The sequence below is a fragment of the Homo sapiens genome, chromosome 7 (assembly GCF_000001405.40).
Source record: "Homo sapiens chromosome 7, GRCh38.p14 Primary Assembly".
Classification (NCBI taxonomy): domain Eukaryota; kingdom Metazoa; phylum Chordata; class Mammalia; order Primates; family Hominidae; genus Homo; species Homo sapiens.
Window position 1 is genome coordinate 147,080,585 of NC_000007.14, and position 23,222 is coordinate 147,103,806.

The 23,222-nt window shown below is 37.3% G+C and overlaps 1 protein-coding gene and 1 long non-coding RNA gene across 3 annotated transcripts in view; one reads left to right on the plus strand and one right to left on the minus strand.

Annotated features, from left to right (window-relative positions):
• CNTNAP2 (contactin associated protein 2) overlaps positions 1-23,222 on the plus strand; it is a 2,304,198-nt gene that overhangs the window by 963,784 nt on the left and 1,317,192 nt on the right. The gene's annotated exons all lie outside the window — the stretch shown is intronic.
• CNTNAP2-AS1 (CNTNAP2 antisense RNA 1) lies at positions 354-17,025 on the minus strand. The gene is made up of 4 exons (NR_110829.1): positions 16,848-17,025; positions 5,109-5,238; positions 1,956-2,637; positions 354-1,504 (listed from the first exon to the last, which is right to left on the minus strand). It is a non-coding gene; the product is annotated as a CNTNAP2 antisense RNA 1 (long non-coding RNA).

Sequence of the window (23,222 nt, forward strand, 5' to 3'; positions counted from 1 at the left end):
TATGTTTTCTGTAATTGTATGGTAGCATAGAATTTTATATATATAACATACATTCATATATAACATATATAACATGTATATGACATATATATAACATATATATCTATATATAAAATAAATATATATAAATATATATATAAAACTTTGTGTCATTTCAATCCTGAGCTATTTTTTATTTTTCTGCCTCATGTCAATTAGAATCAGTCTCCCCCTTTGATTCCAGTCAATTCAACCACCAGTCGTTTTCCTACCTCTTCCTGACCTCCTCACCAATATTGACTCTGGCTATGTATCCTGAAAAGTGAGAAAGATTGAACTGATATGAATGAAAATTAGAATAAATGTAAAATTCACACATAATATTGTTTATTTCTCCTCATATGGTACACAAATATACACTTAAATTTTATTTCATATGACATCAACATAGTGTATATTCAACAAAATATAACTCCTGATCCTGTCTTAAGGAGTATATAATCTAATGAAAGATTGAACACACAACAGTGCTAAGAACCAACAGCTATGAAGAAGGTGCAATATTCACAAAGAAACTGTCTTTGTGATTTCAGGTAGTGCTCCTTAGTATCGGATTGTTGAGCCACATTTGAAAGAATGATTGTGAATTTATGAGAACATACACCAACGAGTGGACAGTGGGATGCCTCTATCCAGCAACACAGGCCACTGTCTCATAGTTCCTCATCAGCTGCTACAGGATTCACTCCAAATTTCACTATAGGACCTGCCAGCTTGTATTTTTGTCTCTTGAGTCTACGCCAAAACCAAAACTGGCAATCCCAACCACTCATCACTTAAAAACTAAGAGATTCTTTTTTTTTTTTTTTTCTGAGACAGAGTCTCACTCTGTCGCCAGGCTGGAGTGCAGTGGCGCAATCTCAGCTCACCACCTTCTCCGCCTCCCGGGTTCAAGCGATTCTCCTCCCTCAGACTCCTGAGTAGCTGGGACTACAGGCGCACCACCACACCCGGCTAATTTGTGTGTGTGTGTGTGTGTGTGTGTGTGTGTGTGTGTGTGTGTGTATTTTTAATAGAGATGGGGTTTCACCATATTGGCCAGGATGATATTGATCTCCTGACCTTGTGATCTGCCCACCTCAGCCTCTGAAAGTGCTGGGATTACAGGCGTGAGCCACCGCACCCGGCCGAGATTCATTAATCTTAAAGGCTTGGTCAAAGAGCAAGTATTAAAACAGGAATGTCACTTTCAGTTTCATCTTGTGCCGTTGGCCATTCATACCTTCCTGCTACATCTGTACAGTCTTCCACGCCCAGCTTGTGCTTCTAGAAGGAAATCAAATGAGACGATTTGTATGCTGGTGCTCTGAAAAGGAGGGAGCTAGAGGATCAATAGGCTCTAGCTAATAGTTTTTTGGATCCGAATAATAATGTTTATAGAACTGGAAGACTGCAGTTTAGAATGGTCCTTGATCACTTATTCATTGGTCTGTTCAAGCAGGAAATACAATGGTTTCATTGAGTGCTAGGAAAAAAAAGAAAGGTAAAGGGTGTTGAATTCAGCCACTGGCTGGGCTTTGACCAGAAGGGAAAATCAGGGATTGGATGCTGCTATTTAAACATTAGCATTTACAAATTAATTGGTACCACGAAGAAAGGAAAAAGAAACTGAAAACTGTGATTACCAAAGAATAGTTTAGGACCAACATGCTCCCCTTTTCTTTACATTTGCTTAGGCCTTTTATCGCTGCCTCTTTGAACTGAGGCTGAGATTCACTTTTTTGTTTATAAGGGCTTACTTGTTACTGAGAACAGAGCCAAAATGGGCTTGCAGCATCTGCTCATAACTCATTAACCAGAACTTGGTCGTGTGACCACCAACACTTAGATGCAAAGGAGAATAGAAAACTAGTCTGAGTTCTGTAGCCACGTACCCAGCTAAAAGCTGCAATTTGTATCACTAAAGTAAAGCTCACCTTGCGCTTTCATTGAACAGCTAGCAGTCTCTGCCGTGCGATTTACTTCCTCGCCCCTAGACAAATGGAGGAGAGAATTCCTCCTCTTCTGTGCTTTGAAAGATCACAATTGTCATAATTTTTAAGAGGAAATTTAAAATATACATTTAAGGAAGGTTTAATCTTTAGTTCTTACTAAAAATTCTGATCTGACTCAAACTGATTCAAAAAGCAAGGAAATTCAGTTTCCTATATGATGGAAGTGTCAGGGTGGAACAGATCTCAGGAATTAGTTGACCCACTGACCTGATGCTTTGGGAGCCATTTGGGAGCCATTCCGGCATCACTGCGTGTCCTGAGCCTGGCTCCCATCTTGGGGTCAAGATGGCCACACCCTTTCAGTTCTCACAGACACACACTGCAATTTCCAGAGGCAGGGTGAGGCCATCTGCTCTGCCGCCATGTTCTTCTCAGGAATCGGCGGCCTTCCCAAAGGTGTTCTCAGCACGCCTCTCATCCTCTCTCGCTGTAGCTGAGTCACATCCCCATGTTTCATCCAAGTAGCGGCAAGGAAATGGGATTGCCTCGGTTGACTTGGATAGTTCAGGACTGGCTCCCTTGCAGAGAAAAGAGAGTCGCTTCCCTTGAATTATATGAGGACTGGATGGACACTGGACACCCAATGAGTAAAATCAAGGCTTGTCTGAGGTCAACAGTAACACCACCAAAAGCAACAAAGAGGAAATGGATGTTAGGTCGGCAAACACTGTCTGCTACAGTTCATAACGTAGTTTCGAGAGCCTTCAAAAGTATTAATGACAAACTAACGTTTGGAATATGGGGAACACTGTATTTTGCTTCTAGTGATTTGGAGAAGTAGGCAATAATGTCGCTCACCTCTACTAAATGTATATTGTAATGTGTACATTAAATTTAAAATTGTACAAATGATTTCTCATCCTCAAAAGACTAACTCGTTTTCAGGTTAAAAGTAAACATCATTTTATATATATATATACATATATATATATGTATATATATATATACACATATATATGTATATATATATACACACACACGTCTATAATGCTATATATAAAAAATATATCTGTATGTGTGTATATATCTATAATGCTATATATACATATATAATACATATTATATATGATACATAGATATATAATGTATTATATATTTATATAGCATGTGTATATACATATATGCTATATATAGGATTATATATGTGTATACACATATATGTATATATTATATATACATATACACATGTATGTACATATTATATACATATACACATGTATGTACATATTATATACATATACACATGTATGTACATATTATATACATATACACATGTATGTATATATTATATGCATATATACATATACACATGTATGTATATATTATATAGCATTATATATAGCATTATATATGTGTATACACATATATGTATATATAATACATATATACATAATGCTATATATGTATATATAATACATATATGCATAATGCTATATATGTATATATAATACATATATGCATAATGCTATATATGTATATATAATACATATATGCATAATGCTATATATGTATATATAATACATATATGCATAATGCTATATATGTATATATAATACATATATGCATAATGCTATATATGTATATATAATACATATATGCATAATGCTATATATGTATATATAATACATATATGCATAATGCTATATATGTATATATAATACATATATGCATAATGCTATATATGTATATATAATCCATATATGCATAATGCTATATATGTATATATAATATATGCATAATGCTATATATGTATATATAATATATGCATAATGCTATATATGTATATATAATACATATATGCATAATGCTATATATGTATATATAATACATATATGCATAATGCTATATATGTATATACACATATATGCACATAGCATGCTTATAAATGCTCTATATTGTATATACATATAATACTATATATAATATATAATAATATAATAATATATACATGTATATACATATGTACATATAGCATATATAATGCTATATAAGCATGCTATATGTATATATGTATATACATGTATACGTTATACCATATACTATATAATATATAGCATATATAAGCATGCTATATGTATACATAATGCATATATAATATATAATGCTGTATGATAATTATATATAATGTATATAATATGTGATATATGATATATAATATGTAACATGATGATGTAATACATATAATTTTATGTATTTTATTATATATAATTTATATATATGCTATGTATAGGCACACACATATAGTGTTTGTGTGTGTATATATATGTAGCATGAGGTTGTGAGCTAGTCAAACTTTAGTCATATCATTTAATATCTCAAGTTTACATTGATGAAATATTTATAATGAAATCCTTTGCTACCCACTAACTCTGAGAGGTTTGAGTACTTATAAAATCAGGCTTATTTTTTTCTCAAAGTTGAGAAAAGCATTTTTTCTCCAAGTTAGAAAAGCATTTTTTGTTGTTTATTAATAAACCAATCAAAGCTGATGTCTTTTGGTTTGAGAAAAACAAATAATTTTCTTAAGAAAAGTGTGATGAAAATTATAGCATCTTTAATGACTTTGTTCTCCATCTCCTAGTATTGTTATCTTTGTATGTATCCCTTTTGCCTGGGCTGGGAAAACTGTACTGTAGGTCAGGGGTTCCCAGCCTCCAGGCCACGGACCTATACTGGTCCATGGCTTGTTAGGAACCCGGCCACAGCATCAGAAGGTGCCCAGTGGGCAAGCGAATGTTCCCACCTGAGCTCTGCCTCCTGTCAGATGAGTGCCCGCATTAGATTCTCATAGGAGCACTAACCCTACTGTGAACTGCACATGCAAGGGATCTAGGATGAACACTCATGAGAATCTAGTGCCTGATGATCTGAAGTGGAACAACTTCATCCCAAAACCCACCCCCAAGCCCAACCTGTCCGTGGAAAAATTGTCTCCCAAAACACTGGCCCTGGTGCCAGAAAGGTTGGAGATCGCTGCCATAGGTGATATCTCTCCTAGAACCATACACCTCTGGTTTTAAGAGCTAAAAACATACAGACTTATTCTGTAAGTGTAAACATTTTACTGTGTGTTACCTGGCCAATTCTTCACAGCTGATCATTGTATATTTTTAAATTCTCTTCATGTCTCATCGTTTTATTAGCGTGTTTCTTCCCATTATGCCATTCTGAAATCCTTTTACAAGTTGTCCTCTGGTCCAGTGATCTGGTGATACAAATGATTGATAGCAATAAACATATCATTTGCATCTGCAACCCAAATGTCCTGTGTGTTCCTGTAGAAATTATGTAGCTAAGACACGCACACGAAAGCTCTGTAAGTCAAAGAGTAGCGTCGTGTTTTTCCAAATAAATTTTTCTTTAAACCTTGGAGCCTCATTGAAGCACAACTTGAAATGGTAGAAAAACCCAGTGGGGCATGTCACCAAAAGCAGTTTCCTACCGCAGCTTCCAAGAGAACTTCATTAGTGTTTTCAACCTGAATACTAATCAATGGCATAAACTCTAAGGAAATTTTAATATGAATATTTTTAAAGGAGCATTTTAATGTGAACGTAGTGAAAATACAAAATCATATTTAAATAGGAAAGAAAGGGATATCTCTGGGCTCAATGAGTTTTGAAAGAGGAGAGGTTTGAAGAATAAATGAGTTTACAGAAAATAAACAAAAATATGAAACAAAGAAGAAAATAGATACAGAGAAGCAAAAGTATAAAAATAGCAACATTTAAAATTTTTATCTATGCTCTTTTTGATACATCCACAGAAAATATGTTTCTCTTTCTTTTTCTTTTCATAAAATTTATTTTTATTTTTAATTTTTTTAAATTACTTTTTTGAGACAGATTTCTCTCTATCACCCAGAATGGAGTGCAATGGCATGATCATGGCTCATGGCAGCCTCAGTTTCCTGGCTCAGTCAGTAATCCCACCTCAGCCTCCTAAGTAGCTGAAAACAGGCATGCACCACCATATGTAGCTAATATTTTTTAAATTATTTCTGTGGAGACAGGGTCTCTCTATGTTGCCCAGGCTGGCTCAAACTCCTGGGCTCCAGCGATTCTCCACCCCAGCCTCCCAAATCGCTGGAATTATAAGCATGACCACCTAGTCTGGCCATACAGAAGATACATAATCTTAGACCCCCTTCCTCATGTAACATGTAGCACTTTCTCTAACTATATCAAATAATGTCTGGGAAACAGCAATTTTAAATCTTTAGTATGGTATAATTATTGTCAAAGCAAAACAAGATGAAACTTCAGAAAAGTCTAGTACAGAGCTTCAACGAATTCAAGTTAAGTTTTACACCTGTTACTCCCTGATACTTAGAAAAGTTTTATGCTTGCCTCTATTGTGCTTAGAGAGAATGTTGTGGTTTGTAGGAAAATAGACACTGGTAAGTGTAACTGTATCTGAAATTTGCACACTTCACCAGTGTGTCTGGTTATTATCTACATGGTGGACCTTCAGTGACTGGAGGACCTCTCTTTCCATTCAAGCTGTCTTTTTATTAACCGTTCTCTGGGGCCTCAAGTTCCCTCTGCAGCATTTATTTCCCTTTGAGTTAAGTATTGTTCCCATTATTGTCTTAGAAACGTTAAGTATCATTAGATACAGTATCTCATTGTGGATTATGTTATCAGATTCTTTGCAATGTGTCTCTTAACAAAAGGATATTGAGTGGCAGAGTGGGGAGTGGAAAATCACTGAAAAAAGAGGACACCGAAGAGACACATGAATTTTCTTTGTTCTGTTTTTTTTAACCAGTGGTCATCCCTAGCAAAGATGTGTGTAAGTGCATTAAAAACATTTGTGTGTAGCGAAAGTGGTGAATTTCTCTATGCAACATATTTAAAAGTCATTGTTTGTACCTCACTTGCATGGCTATTTGGCCCTATAAATATTGGCTCTTGTCTAATGACATTTTCTATTTCACTTTTTAATAGAATTTGCTGTAAAATGGATACTACAGAAACAGCATTTTATTTTCATTCTTGGCAAAATCATTTCCACCCAAAGTGGGGGAGCTCCTAACAATGGTTGCTTCTACTTTATTTATAAGAAAAATAATCAAGGCCGGGCATGGTGGCTCATGCCTGTAATCCCAGCACTTTGGGAGGCCAAGGTAGGTGGATCATATGAGGTCAGAGTTTGAAACCAGCCTGGACAACATGGTGAAACCCCATCTCTACTAAAAAATACAAAAATTAGCTGGGCATGGTGGCGCACACCTGTAGTCCCAGCTACTTGGGAGGCTGAGGCAGGAGATCCCCTTGAACCCGGGAGGTAGAGGTTGCAGTAGGCCGAGATTGTGCCACTGCACTCCAGCCTAGGCAACACAGCCAGACTCCACCTCAAAAACAAAAAAACAAAAAAAACAGCCATCAAGCAGACATGGTCATCTTTTGCCTGTAGTGCAACAGAACTGTTTAAAACACAGTTTAGGCCTTAACGTGGAAATTCTTGCTTGCAGCTTCCACTAATCAATCTCGCTAACCTCAGGACTCTAACTTTCATTTTCCTAATTCACATTTCAAAACCTTTCTAAATTTCAAGAGGGAATGATTTATCAAATCATCTAACTCTTTCAAATTTTGGAGAAATAAATCTCACTTGGATCACTAAAAATAAAGAAAAGGATCACTATGGAATAATGACCCTTTAATAGAAAAAGAAAATATTTCTAACATAAATATTGGAGCTTTTCTGTGGTAGCTGTCAAATCCAGGAGTTTGGAAATTGGAAAACTAGAAATTAGAAAAGAACAAAAAATAGATGTTTTAAAGTTGCAAAGCTCCTTTTCTAACCTTAAATTTTGAGGTTACAATCAGTTTAAATTTTAAGGTTTAAAGCCAGTTTCTAAATCTTAAAACTATATTATTTACAAGACAATTCAAGTGACAAAATACATAGTAGTCAGTCATAAACTAAATCAGATTCTAAAATATTATGTCATATTATGAAGCAGTATGTAACTAAAGGGCTGGTGATTGAGCCCTGAAGGGCCGTGTCAGGTCTTCTACTTGTTTTCAAAATCAAGGCTGAAGCTGGGTGCAGTTCCCACCTGTAATTCCAACACTTTGGAAGGCCAAGGCAGGAAAATGGCTTGAGCCTACGAGTTCAAGATCAGCCTGCAACATAGAGAGACCCCATCTCTACACAAAAATACAAAAATTAGCTGGACATGGTGGTGCCTCCCTGTAATCCTAGCTACTCAGGAGGCTGAGGCAGGAAGATTGCTTGAGCCCCGGAGTTCAAGGCTGCAGTGGGCTGTGATCATACCACTTCAATCCAGCCTGGGTGACAGAGCAAGATGCTGTCTCCAAATAAATAAATGAAAGAAGAAAGAAAGAGAAAGAGAGAAAGAGAGACAGAGAGATAGAGAGAGAAAGAGAGAAAGAGAAAGAGAAAGAGAAAGAAAAGCAAGACTGCTTCTCCCAGCAATTTGTTAGGATCCTGGCTGTCCGCCCAAGATGGGTTAGATGAATGGCTGACAAGGAATTTGTTTTCTACCACTGTCACATGGGAGCTACATTACCCCAGCTGTTGCCCCTGCAGAGAGAATTATCTGTATGTTCCGTGTATGCATCCCACCTTTTCAACATCTTGTAGCAGTTCCACTTGAGAAGTTTCAAGTGATCGGAGTCCTGGCCCTCCCACTTCATTGTCTCCATAATCCCTAGCATTGCACTTCTCTGTTTGTCAATGTCTATAAATGGTCTCTTTGCAAGGCTTCTCATGCTATGTATAAAACCTTTATAAATAGCATCCACTGCGACTCACACAGAGCCACTTGGAAAAACATTCTTGTCTTGTTTTTCTCACATATGTCTAAAATTTTACACTTTTTCCTTTATTTTTACTTGATTTAGCTAATTTATTCTTAACCACAGCATTGTGGTTTAGTAATTGAGACATTTTCTTCATTTTGAACTCCAGAGTCTCATCAACTTTAGTCATGAAATACAAAAATTGGAAATAAGTCTTTGTTATAAATCTAGGCCTTGGGTAGGAGTTAACTAAGTTTGGTAGTTTGAAAGTTATAGAAACCAAAGTTTACATTGAATACATACAGCCAACCAGGTGTTATGACACTGAATTCCTATATTCAATAAATATTAGTTGTTTTCTGGGTGGCAAATTCATAAGCTATAAAGAAATTCTGGCTTATATTATGCTGATGTGGACAGAATTACAGATGATGGACTTGAAGGTGTTCATATAAGCACCCGTCCTCACTCTGCACCAAAGGTGTCTCAGGGCCTAGTGAGGGGGCAGTGCCAGAAGCCTCCAAAATACTTGTTTCTCTGAAATGTTCTTCAGTACAGAAAGCAGTGGAAGCAGAGTAGACTGAATTATGTATTTTTTCAGCTTTCACTTTATGTCTCTACAGTTTGCTCTCTTCCTCACTGGGGAGAAAATAAACCAGCTACCTCAGGGAAGTCAGCACAAATACAGAACAGTAAGGGAGGGTCCCATAGTCACCAAGCAAGACGCCCAATTTGTCCTAAATCCATTCATGCATGTTATGGTAAAAATATGGCCCTGTTCTCCTTCCAGGCATGAGTCAATGTTGCTAAGTGGGTGGATTAGAATAGTCATTATTTCAAATCAATTAGACAAATACTTAATATGTTGCCACTCCAGCTACTGTGAACCAGATCTTGATTTAGTAAAGAAGACTGATATAGAACATATAAGCGTGTGTGTGTGTGTGTGTGTGTGTGTGTGTTACAATTCTCTGGTATTTACAACAAGGGCTGTACTGTTGTGCTAGGCTAAATATTAGCAAAAAGAGAGGGAAATATGACATGTTTTACCTGAATGGGATTAAATCTTTTATTTTACACTTGCTCAAGGTCATACATTTATTCTTACTGGTCCCAGGTAACTGCAGCCATGAATATTTTTCTTAATTTATTCAGATACTTTTTTAATGTTCTAGAATTAAAATAATTTAATCTTCAGAAATGTGTATCTCTTTTAGCATTATCAAGCAACTAAGAATATAAGTAATAATTATAAATTGTTGTGTTAGATTTTACTTCTAACACCTTCCAATTGTTTATTAAAACAATTGATATAATTATTCTTTGTAAAAATTAACAATATTGACAATTATATGTGGTTTTTAGGATGTAATATTTTTGCTGCAATTGGCTAATTTTGATACTTTTCTTACATAAATTTTAAGTGATTGTCCAGTCACCCGTGAAAGCGTTTCAATGTCTGTGGATTTTATGTTTTAAAATTGCATTTGAAATAGTCCAATTCATAATGTGCTAAAATAATCAAGAAATGTTCTCTAAAATCCTGAATTCTTCCATTTAGGATCTAACTTAAAATTCAAAATTAAAAATAAATGAAAAATTAAGCTTGGGCAAGTCAATCAGAATAAGAGATGCTTAATTTCTGTAGTTGAAGGGAGAAAATTAAAGTGATGTCAGCTTTCTCATGACCCAAGAAGTATGTAGTTGAATCAATAGCATCATGAACGCCCCATCGGATGATCATGGAGTCTCTTAGATTCCTCGTCCCCTTCCTTCTTTCCTTAAACAGACCCAGAAAGTGAATCGGTTTCCTCATGGGCAAATAAACCAAGCCTAGATCCTGATCTCTGGGCTCAGAGCCAATGCTCTTCTGTATCCTGATGGGATGGTCATGATGCTATTGACTCAACTACGTATTTCTTCGGTCATGAGAAAGCTGGCATCACTTTAATTTTCTGAAAAATGCTCTGCCTCAGCATGCTCTTTGTCGTGCCAACCCTTGGAATGAAGGCATGTGCTATGATTCTAAGTTTATATTAAAGAAACTCAACCATATACTTTTTTCTTTTTTCTTTTTTTGAGACAAGAGTCTCGCTCTATCACCAGGCTGGAGTGCAGTGGCACGATCTCGGCTCACTGCAACCTCCGCCTACGGGGTTCAAAAGATTCTCTTGCCTCAGCTTCCCTAGTAGCTGGGACTACAGGTGCGCACCACCACACCCAGCTAATTTTTTTTTTTTTTTCTTGCTCTGTTGCCCAGGCTGGAGTGCAGTGGTGCGATCTCGGCTCACTGCAAGCTCCGCCTCCCAGGTTGAAGCCATTCTCCTGCCTCAGCGTCCCGGGTAGCTGGGACTACAGGTCCCCTCCATCATGCCCGGCTATTTTTTTTGTATTTTTAGTAGAGACGGAATTTCACCATGTTAGCCAGGATGATCTCGATCTCCTGACCTCGTGATCCACCTGTCTGGGCCTCCCAAAGTGCTGGGATTACAGGCGTGAGCCACCGCGCCAGGCCATTTTTTGTATTTTTAATAGAGACGGGGTTTCACCATGTCAGTCAGGATGGTGTCGATCTCCTGACCTCGTGATCTGCCCACCTCCACCTCCCAAAGTGCTGGGACTAGAGGCGTGAGCCACCACTCCTGGCCAACCATTGTCATTTTAAGGACTTAACCACCCTACTATAAATAGCACTTGTAACAGCACTATATCTGTCATGCCTTGGGAAATGCATAAATTGTTAAGATTGACCTAAGCTGTAAAAATGCAGGAAGTTGAAACACAGATGTGTAGGCACTGTATCAAATGTATCCTGTTTCCAAGTTCAGTTCCTTTCCCAATGACCCCCTCAAAAATGTTTTTCTAAAATTAACTGGATTTGTGATATATCTGTCCTTATATTTTCTGAATTCAAAATAATTTCCTTCTTGAAGCTACAGAATTCTGCAACTTTGCAATAGGTTTCTAATATTTCCAATATCTCAGGCCTTTATTCAAAAGAAAATGCCAGATCTTTTCAAGAGAAACCCTGAATTTATGTTAGAAAGAGAAATTCAAGCTATAAATTGTACAAAATAATATCTAAAATTCTTATAGTATAAGAAGTCAACTTCAAGCTTATTTATAGCTTTAAAGTAATTTAGGGTTTAGAGAGAAGAGAGATTAATGTTCCTATTCTAGTAGACTCAATAAAATATTTGTTTTTATGTTGCAATTTTTAAGCAGAATATTTTCTACAAAGTCAGGAAAAGTAGGCAATCATCAAATAGCTTTAAAAAATTCTGAGCTTCACCATAGAGGGAATGTAAATTGAAAAATGTGATTTGGATTCTGTGATTCTTTAGGAATCTCAGATTCTACATACCTCTGTACTACAAAAACTAAACTTATTGTTGATATAGTGGTTAGTGAATTTTAATAATTAGGTATATAAACCACAGTGTTTAGTTGCAGCAAGCATGTCAGGAATGAGTGATTGGCCTTTGTATGTTCTACTTGTAAGTTGCATGTACTAAATGGCACGTCCATGCTGTGGAAGGAAAAGGGGTATGGCCGGGCGCGGTGGCTCACGCCTGTAATCCCAGCACTTTGGGAGGCCGAGGCAGGCGGATCACGACGTCAGGAGATCGAGACCATCCTGGCTAACACGGTGAAACCCTGTCTCTACTAAAAATACAAATACATATATATATATATATATATTAGCCGGGCGTGGTGGCGGATGCCTGTAGTCCCAGCTACTCAGGAGGCTGAGGCAGGAGAATGGCGTGAACTCGGGAGGCGGAGCTTGCAGTGAGCTGAGATCGCACCACTGCACTCCAGCCTGGGCGAAAGAGCGAGACTCCATCTCAAAAAAAAAAAAAAAAAAAGAAAAAGAAAAGGTGTACGTATGTCAGATGATACAATGCAGCATTATACTTATTTTTGAAGAGATTTGCTGTTTGTTAATCATTTGCCTCAAGATTAAATTAAATATTTATTATATTCTGCTGACATATATGTGGTAGTTTGAAATGGTTCTCTACTTTCTTGTGTAAAGGTAAATAAATGCAACGTAAACACAAGCAGTCTTCATTATTGATAGTAATTATGTGCTATAAAGTTGCCAGGAACACTGATTTAGCGAATACTGAATTATTTCTCCTAGGGGAAGTATAGGTTTAGGTTTCAGTGAGCCTCTGGTCACTACAGTTTTTGAGAGGACACAAACACTCATACCGTAGCGTTCTGCCCCAAAACCCCAAAATTCACACAATTCTCACACACAAAATGCGTTTATTCCATCTCAATAGCCCCAACAGTCTTAATTCATTTCAACATCAATTTTAAATTCTAACTCCAAAGTCTCATCTAAATAACATCTAAATCAGATGTGGGTGAGACTCAAGGTGTGATTCATCCAGGGCAAACTGCTCTCCTGCTGTGAACTTGTGAAATCAAACAAGTTGTGTACTTCGAAAATACAATGTGGGACACACATAGAATAGACATTATCACTTTAAAAGGAAAAAAAATAGGAAAGAAGAAAAAGGTAACAGGTCCCAATTTAAAGTCCCAAGCCCCGAATATCCTGCCACCTAGATGGTTCTCTGCAGTAGCCCCACCTCCATGGTGGCTCTGTGCCTGGGTCACCAGCTCACGGCTCTTTCATGCTAGAATCACACACTGGTGGCTTCTACCGGTTTTGATGGCGGCAAAACTTGGGGCAGCCGCAACCCCATGGCACCTCTATACATTGCCCTAGAAGGGACTCTGTGGAGATCTTGCAGAGCAACAGATCTCTTCCTGAGTTCTGCAACTTCCCAGGGCATCCTCATTTCTGTCTGAGACCTCATCGGAATGGCCTTTATCACCCAAATTTCTATCAACATTCTGTTCACGGCCACTTAGGTATACCTTAAGAAGATTGAGGTTCTTTCTACAGCTCTCCTCTTTTCTTCTTAAGTCCTCACCAGAATTACCCTTAAAGGTCCATTCAGAATAATGTAGCCTTTTATTATTATTATTCCTTTTTTTTTTTTTTTTCTTTTGGAGAAGGAGTCTTGCTGTCACCCAGGCTGGAGTGCGGTGCCGCGATCTCGGCTCACTGCAAGCTCCGCCTCCTGGGTTCACGCCATTCTCCTGCCTCAGCCTCCCGCGTAGCTGGGACTACAGGCGTCCGCCACCACGCCTGGCTATTTTTTTTTTTTGTATTTTTAGTAGAGACGGGGTTTCACTGTGTTAGCCAGTATGATCTCTATCTCCTGACCTCGTGATCCGCCTGTCTCGGCCTCCGAAAGTGCTGGGATTATTATTATTATTTTTTTAAAGCATGAACTTTGTAAGCCTTCCAGCCTCTGCCCATGGCCATGCTCCAAAAATGTTCCTACGTTTTTAGTATTTGCTGCAGCAGGACTCTACTTGAGTAGCAATTTTCTGTCTTAGTCTGTTTGGCCTGCTATAACAGAATAATATAAACTAGATAGCTTATAAATAACAGAAATCTAATTTTGCAAGTTCTAATGTCTGAGAAGTCCAAAATCTAGGTACCAAGAGATTTGGTATCTGATGAGGGTCCACTTTCTGGTTCTTAGATGATGCCTTCTTGCTGTGTGCAAGGGCAACGCATCTTTCTGGGGCAACTTTATTTTTTTTGTTTTTGTTTTTAGAGACAGAGTCTTGCTCTGTCACCCAGGCTGGAGTGCAATGGCGCAGTCTCGGCTCACTGCAACCTTCGTCTACCGGGTTCAAGCGATTCTCCTGCCTGAGCCTCCCGAGTAGCTGGGACTATAGGCATGCACCACCACGCCTGGCTAATTTTTTTTTTTTTTTTTTTTTGTATTTTCAGTACAGATGGGGTTTCACCATGTTGGTCAGGCTGGTCTCGAACTCTTTACCTGAAATGATCCTCCCACCTCGGCCTCCCAAAGTGCTGGGATTTCAGGCGTGAGCCACCGCACCCAGCCTCTGGGGCAGCTTTTATGAGAGAACTAATTTCATTCATGAGGACTTCACCATCATAACCTAATCACATCTAAAGGCCCCAACTCCTAACACTGTAACATTAAGAATAAGGTTTTAACATAGGAATTTTGGGAGGACACAAACATTCAGAACATAGCAGTTAATAAAATATTTGTAAAATTTATATATGTATATATATATATTTTCTTTTTAGTAAGTTCTATTTCAAATCTCAGTGAATAAGTTTCAGATGTATGTTGTTTCATTGTCTTTCATTGTTTTTCTTGCTTCTTTCTTTTTTTCTTTTGAATCTGACATCACTACAATATTGATTTTTGTTTCTACCTTCATTTTATAATCATATACCTTACCAAGCTACAGAAACGAGGCAGAAAAACAATTTCCATTTTATTTCAGTACATCTTCCTAAAACTGGATCCTGGTTTGCTTAGTTGTTATTAACAACACTTGATGAGCTATTATTAATTAAATAATTATCTTTTATCTCAAATGTGGAGGTTCTTGTTCCTATGAAGCCCACCCTTCCCTTTAGCAGCAGCAACAACAAAACGACAGGCAGCTTCTCCCTTCATATGGGTCCTGACAGATGAGCCTTTTGGACCCCTCGTAAAAGTAGTAAATGCACCTTTTTCTTTTATTTACATTAACATTTGTTTTTTCTTAACCATGCTCTCTCTATTGATTTAGCATTAATCATGTTGTTTCCTACAGAATTTACCTTTTGAAAAATAAAAACACAGGCAGATACATACTGGTTATTCACAGGAAAATTAGGGTGTAATTATTAGCAGACTAATTGTTTCAGATTTACTATGATCCATGAAGTCTTGTATTTGACAGCTTAAAGAACTATGTGGCCAAGAAGACATAAATGTGGGCCAGTAGCTAGCAGCCTCTGCATAATACAACTCCAAATCAACTGGTGAACATTTAAATTGGAGTAATTTAATTAAAAATTTGAATTTCTGGGCTTCCTTGAAAATGTATTGTTTGAATAACACCAGCATTCCTGCATATCATAAGTTACCTCCATGTGAATAGGGACAGCCCCTTTTATCCACAACATATCCCAAACACTGCATGAATCCTCTGCCATCATGGCTGAGCTTTTAATCTCTTCATTAGAATCTCTTTTTGGTTGATTTTCTAATCAGGGAAATATGTCTCTCTTGGTCATATTGCTATCAAAAGTAAGAAAGTAAAAGATCAATAGAACGACATGATATTTATAACCAGCCAGCATCACACATTTGTATAAACTGCTTGTCTTCTCTGAGCATTGAAGTTGTGACTTCTAATTTTAGAAGCTACAAATCATTTTATCTCTGTCAGGACTGGTTCTCGCCACAAGTTGTGTAAGTACTGCTCATTTATGAAAATAAATTAATTCAACCTCTTCTTCATGGCCCCAGTGAGTGTGCAGGTGTCATGAAGTAATGGACAGCACCCAAGTTCACAGTGAATCAGATTCCCTCCAATGCCCAAATCACTGAGGTGTGTTCACGAGCAGACCACAGAGTACTGTTTTTAGTGTTTTACCAGACAGGACCTAACTGCTCTAGCAAAGAGGAAAGAGAACATTATCTCACAACATGTGTACCTTTTGAGCTTTACTAAGCCTATTTTATGGTTGAGGTAAAATTTTCACCCAAAGGTATGTGAAATCAAACCAAAATTACAGAATTGTTGTAATATATTGCACCATATGCATAACCTCAAAAGATACTGCACACATATGTCCCAATCTCTCACAAATAAGAGAAAATCATTTGTACCAACTAATTTAGCTTTCAGGAAAGCACAGAAAGTAAAATAAATAAAAATGACATTTTTTCCTAATCACCTATTACATATTGCTACTCGTCCTGACAAATTTGTAGGGGTTGTTGATGGATGTATAGCGTTCAGAACATTAATGATTTTACAAGTTTAAAGTAATGGTGTTTGTTCATGTACATATGTGTGGATGAATAGTTGTATGGATGGATGGATGATGTATTAGTTGGTTTTCATGCTGCTGATAAAGATGTACCCAACACTGGGCACTTTACAAAAGAAAGAGGTTTAATGGACTTACAATTCCTCATGGCTAGGGAGGCCTCACCATCATGGCGGAAGGTGGAGGGGACCTTGAACATGGCGGCAGCAAGAGAAAGAATGAGAGCCAAGAGAAACGGGTTTCCCTTTATCAAACCATCAGACGTTGTGAGACTTATTCACTCCCACTAGAACAGTATGAGGGAAACGGTCCCTATGATTCAGTTATCTCCCACCAGATCCCTCCCACAACACGTGGGAATTATGGGAGTACAATTCAAGATGAGATTTGGGTGGAGAAACAGAGACAAAGCATATCAGATGAATTTGAAAAGGATAGCGCATAGAAATTTTGGATAGCTAAAGAAGTAACAAACTAAGATTCTGTGTAAAAATTAAGATGGTGGGAAAATGAATTCGAATATGTAGCGTGTTTCAAAGAGGAATTTTTGACATTTTGTTTTTGTTTTCAGGGTACTGTCAATTTCATTTTAAATTCTGAGGCTTTGTAATATTGGATTTATCATACACCTGGAGTCAGCCACAACTGTAAATTTTGATCTGAAATTCTTCAGTTAGTATAAAATCCCTAACTGCTTTGAAATTCTGTGTAGTGATAATGCATCATCTGAATGCTTTGCATCCTTTAATGACATAGGTATCTTCTGAATTCTGGCTTTGCGTAACTGTTGCCAACACTGTAAGAACATCAGCTCGTTTGAGGCTGGGTCTTTGTTCTCTCTGTTTCTGGGCCCTTTCCACGCCCTTTCTCCTCTCCCTCACTAGCACAGGAGTTATCTTTCCAATGCAAACCTGGACATGCATTTTCCACTTAGAATACCATCATTACACACATGGGCCCTCAGCTTCCTCAGGGAGCATTAAGTCTTTAATCTTCCAATTCTCACCCTGCACATGAATTGTAAGCCTTATGTAGTAAAGTCACAAACAACTGAGCGTTTTTAGAACAGTCGAATGTGCTATTCCCCTATCTGTCTGAATTTATCTTACTCAGTCTTAATTCTCTTTTCACTGGAAAGTTCCTGTATTGTTTTTTGTTTGTTTTTTAACTCACCCCATTACTTCCACAACCCCAGTCTTGACACAATGTTATGGATGTAGAAGATACTTCAGAGTCCAGAAGTTGATCTTAGACATTTAATAATGGTTTCTAAAATTTGCTTTAAAGGAGCTTTTTGCAGGTCTATGGACTAACTTTTGCCAACAATTCCTAGGCTTTTGTTTGATCAAAACTGATTTTTCACTTCTTTTCTAAGATATGGTAAAATAATTTTCTGTACTGAGTGTTTTCTAATATAGTTTATTAGTAGAAAATTTGAGACACAGTAAGGCCAACATATCAGAAAACACCTACCGTGAAAAGATACTAATATTTTATTACTTTATTAATACTTTATATTATTGATACGATATTTATAACCAGCCAGCATCACACATTTGTATAAACTGCTTGTCTTCTCTGAGCATTGAAGTTATTTTATTTTATATAAATACAATTATTACTTTATTAAAATACATGACATTTATTTACTTTATTACTTTTATTACTGTGGCAGGCCATCCCACAGGGTGTAGACCAGAGGTAGGGAGCTCAGGGAAGCACCAGGATCTGTCAGGAGGTAGAGGGGATGAGGGAACTGTGGGCAAGGTCCTTTATTGTAGTTTCCATGGGAAGGGATAGGTGCAGCAGGGTAAGCAGGCTTAGGTCTGGCTAACTGGAATAATTATTCCAGTGAGTTCTGGGGCACAGAGGCTGATCCTAGTTGTCTTGTACCTGATTCTGGGATGAATAGGGAAGACGGATCATGGTCCAGAAGAGAGAAAGCTGGATAAAGGAAGCAGTTGGGGTGTGGACTCTGGATTGATTGCTTTATATTTGGAAAGTGTGCTTACCATCTCTAGAAATTGGCTAACTCTGGGAAGACCAGTCCCTCTAGGGTCAGCAAGGCCCCAGATGTCAAAGCATTGGAGCACAGAGATTAAAATACATGGTCAGGATAGAGGGGAAGTTGAAGCCATGGCAGCTCCAAGAAATGACACAGGTGGCTGCCATTACCCCTGCTCCCACCCTCCACAGCTACCAGCCTCCGTTTACTCATAGGGATAATTGATTTTTTCCTCAATATTATATAAATTACTATGAAAAGAGTGCCTAAAAACAAGTTGCTTATCACTATTTGTAACTAAACTGCTATCTTTATATAGTATCAAAATTTGGACAGAACACTGACAATGATATTTTAAATGGAATTAGAAGGTGAACTGAATAGAGATTTTAAAAATTCCGAAATAAATGTTGGGAATAATTTAAATCAAAAGACATTCTGAGGAGTTTCTTGATGTCTGGTTTCTTTCCTCATCTGTGTAGCATTTACTTAGGATTTATAATTCTAGATAGTCTTTTCGCCAGCAAAAAAACTAGATTTTGTGTGGTCAAAAGTTGTAGAGCTATTTTCAGTAAACAGCGAAGGCGAGAAGGCGAGTCTAATTTATTTGACTTTTTGATTTACAAAAATAAATAAAAACAGCTTCCACATGGATTTCCTACAAATAGATTATATGCTAATTTTCAGAAATTGTTATTATTTCTGCATTATTGGATATATGAGAGTTATAACCCTGCTTAGAAATAGATCACTCTGATTTTCTGATATCTTGTGGGTAATGAGTGGATGAGAGCGAGGACAGAATATAGGTGTGTGCATGTGTTTGTGTGTATGTGTATGGGGGGTGTATGTGTGTGTGAATGTCCATTTTGGGAGGCATAGGGTACCTCAGTGGGCTTTTTTGTCTCTTCACGTTGAATAATGTGATATCTAATGCTATAACTTTAAAAAGTTACTAATATTTTCCTGTGTCTGTTTTTTGTGATTCATTGGGCCAACCAGATGATTAGCCATTTATGGTTTATCATATATACATTTTTTATGGAGTAAGTCAAAAATTAAAATATGTAGGAGTCAATTGATCTTGCCTCTGAAAATCAATAACCATTTCAGATTAGCATACAATGACTGCTCTAAAAGGTGTTTAAAACTTAGTGACTTTAATCTTGGAATATGCAAGTTCCTCATTAATGCATTTAATTCAAAGGAAATTATATATTCTTTATTTAAACTCATACAGGAGTTCAATGTTTTGGCCTTTGACTTATAAACAAATAACTCCAGTGTAAGTATAATAAAAGCATGTTATGTTTAAACCATTTATTCATATCAGACACTCATAGTTGTAAGAGTTGTGTAGCCTTAAATCATGTATAAATCTGTACTCTTAGAAAGTAAACTGCACGGTCACAGGCATAGTTTAGAGGGGAAATAATAACACAGTGGAATTCTCCTTTTGCCTTGTTTCAAACCTAAATGATGTTTCAATCAGTTTAGAAAGTGTTTATGCTGCCAGGAATCCAAAACGGAACAATCCAAAGCCTGTATCCTAGAAGAGCTTCAAGTCCACAGGAAAAATCACGCCCAAAAGAAGATAACTTCAATATAATGTGAGAAGTAAAATGATAAAAGTATGCAAGGAACTAGGGGACAATAGACCAAGGCTGTTTCACACAGGCAGGCTTTCTAGTGGTGAGGCTTATCTGAGGCTTAGAAGATGCCTAAAAGTAAACTAGAACAAGAAAAATGGCTGCTCACTGAAGAAAGTGAGCATAGCCCGAGGAAAGGTGCTATGTGAAGTTTGCGAGGAATTCAATCCGTTTACCATCAGGAGCACATAAAAAGAAAGATGGCACTAAAAATGAGCCTGGACGGGAAGGCAGGAGCTATATCATTGAGGGTGGTATAGGCCACACTGAAGAACCTGGCTTTTGATCTTTTTTGGAAAGAGTTTATTTCAAAAAGGTCTTTCCAGCTTCTGTGTGATGGTTTTAAGACGGGAGAGTTCCCTGGACCCCTTCACGGGACTTGCAACAAGGGTGTGGCTCCATTTCTCGCTCAAGCCCCTTTTGGGAGGAGGAGCATGCAGGTGAGCTGGAGCGAGCGCTTTTGGGCCCTGGCTCCACGGCAGTGTCTAGGGGTGTTGCAGTGCTCTTTTAGCTTTGCCATCTGTGGATGGTTAAGTGTTAACCAGTTCAGTGGAGAGTCAGGGTGACAGCCTTTTATACCCTGTCCTCTTGATACGCAGGTCCTTGTCTGGCATTCAGAAAGAATCAGGTCACATGGACTTGAAGGATGGTGAATGCAGGGATTTTACTGAGTGATGGAGGTGGCTCTCAGCGGGATGGATGGGGAGCTGGAAAGGAGATGGAGTGGGAAGATGATCTTCCCCTGGAGTTCAACCACCCCACGGCCATTCTCCTATCTGACTGTCCCCAGCCAAACCCCTCTTGATGTACAGACGCTTCCTCTCTTCTCTCCTTCTCTGCTGTGCCGCTCTTCTGTTCTACTGCTCGTCTGTTCATGGAGCCTGGGGTTTGGATTTATGAGTATAGGATGGGGAGCACGGCAGGCCAGGGTGGTTTTGAAAGAAGCAACAATTGGGCAGGAAAACAGGATAACTGTTCTCATTTAGCACCACGGTTTGCGGGCTTGAGGGCGGAGCCTTTGCCGGGGAACCACCCTCTTGTCTCCTGTTCATATCAGTTGGATTTAAGAGAAATAAGACCAAAGGATGAGAATTGGTCATTTAACAATGTTAATACAATAGGCAACATGTGAGGTAATGGTAGGCTCATGATAGTACATATAAAAGTAAACTATGAGTTTTAAAAATATCAAAGTGAAATATCAAATTGAAATATCAAATTTCAATTAACAATCATTGCACCTCAAATGAACTCATTGGCTATATGATACTGCCACTGCACAAAGCTCTATATTTCACAGGTCTTGGAAGTCGCTAAATGTAGGTAGGCAAAAAGAAAAAAAAAAAAAAAGAAGCTCAAGAAAGTTCCAGATCTCTGGCTTGAGTGACTGGATAATGGATATAATAAAAGTAGTGGGGCCCAGAGAAAGAATTATATGTTGAGCAGGTAGAGTGAGATGTGCCTGTGGAATATCCATGTGGATCAGCCTTCCAAGTTACTGGATTGGAATCTAAATGGTATGCAGAAATGAAATCAGAGTCCTTTGATATTGTTGTCACTGTCCTAGGGAATATCAAGCACTGAAGGGGAAAGCAACATATTTTAAGCAGAAATATTGCACAAACTGTGAGATGCTGGCCTTCAGGAAAGAAGAGCCTTGAGGTTTTTTGTTTTGTTCCATTTTCCCCAAAGTAGAAGTGATTTTCAGATTCTATCTCTAGATCATTTTTAAAGGATCTGGAGAAGGCTCATTTGCTACTATTACTCTAAATTAGCTATAATGACATTTTGAAATTATTTTATCTGTTTAGGTTTATATCATAGATACATTGAAAAAAAGAAAGGCAGTGGGTTAGGAGGAAGAAAGTATTCAGATAAAAGCAATGTGTAGATGGAATGAGATTGAGTCCACCAGAGTTGTGTCTGTTCTAGGACTGAGTCAATTTAAAATAATGGAATACATTCTTGCCCACCACCACAGCTCCCCAAAAGTAACCTAATGTTACCAGTCTTTTCATCTGACTATTGAAACCTCAAGTATATTTGTAGTTGTAGCACCAAGATGGGTCAGCGAGATTCTTGAAATTTCTTCCAATCTAGTGACTCTAATTTTTTAATGAAGTATGAAATAATAGTGTTTATTATACCTTAATCCAATTAATAGAAATATGAGTGACAACATTCACACATTCTACAAATATTTAATAAATATTCACTGTTTTTCAGGCACTGTTTTAAGTGCTGGGCTTTAGAATGGAACAAAACTAAGTCTCAGAGGAGATATGCTGTAAATATACAAACATCAATGTATCAGGTAGAGATAAATTCCATAAAAATGAATAAAGCTGCGTGAATAGAGAGGAGGTAAAGTTGGCAGTCACACTTTTTATAAAGAATGATCAATGTATCTAAAATATTGACATCTGACAATGAAAATAATACACAGATTTGCATGTGTGTGAAACTTGCAAAATAAGCAAATTCTATCTTCTAGTATTTTTAAACTTCAGTTTCAGAAATGAAATGTATTTCAAACTCTTGAAGTGACTTGGTATTTATTTGCATAAACTATATAGTATTCGATTCTGTACTAACTGGTTAATATACATTTTTACTATTTTTTTAGATTCATATGCTTTATATGTATTTGAGAAATATATATGCTTTTACAAAATTTAAAGTTCCAAATTTACTAGTTTTTAATTAGTTTATTTTTTATAAAAGAAGTCTTTAATTTTGTTTCCTTTTTTCTCTAAAAATCTATATAATTTTTTACCTTTATTGAATTATTATATAATTGAAAAATAAAAATTGTATATATTTGAGATATATGATTCCACAACTCTGTGATATTCTCCC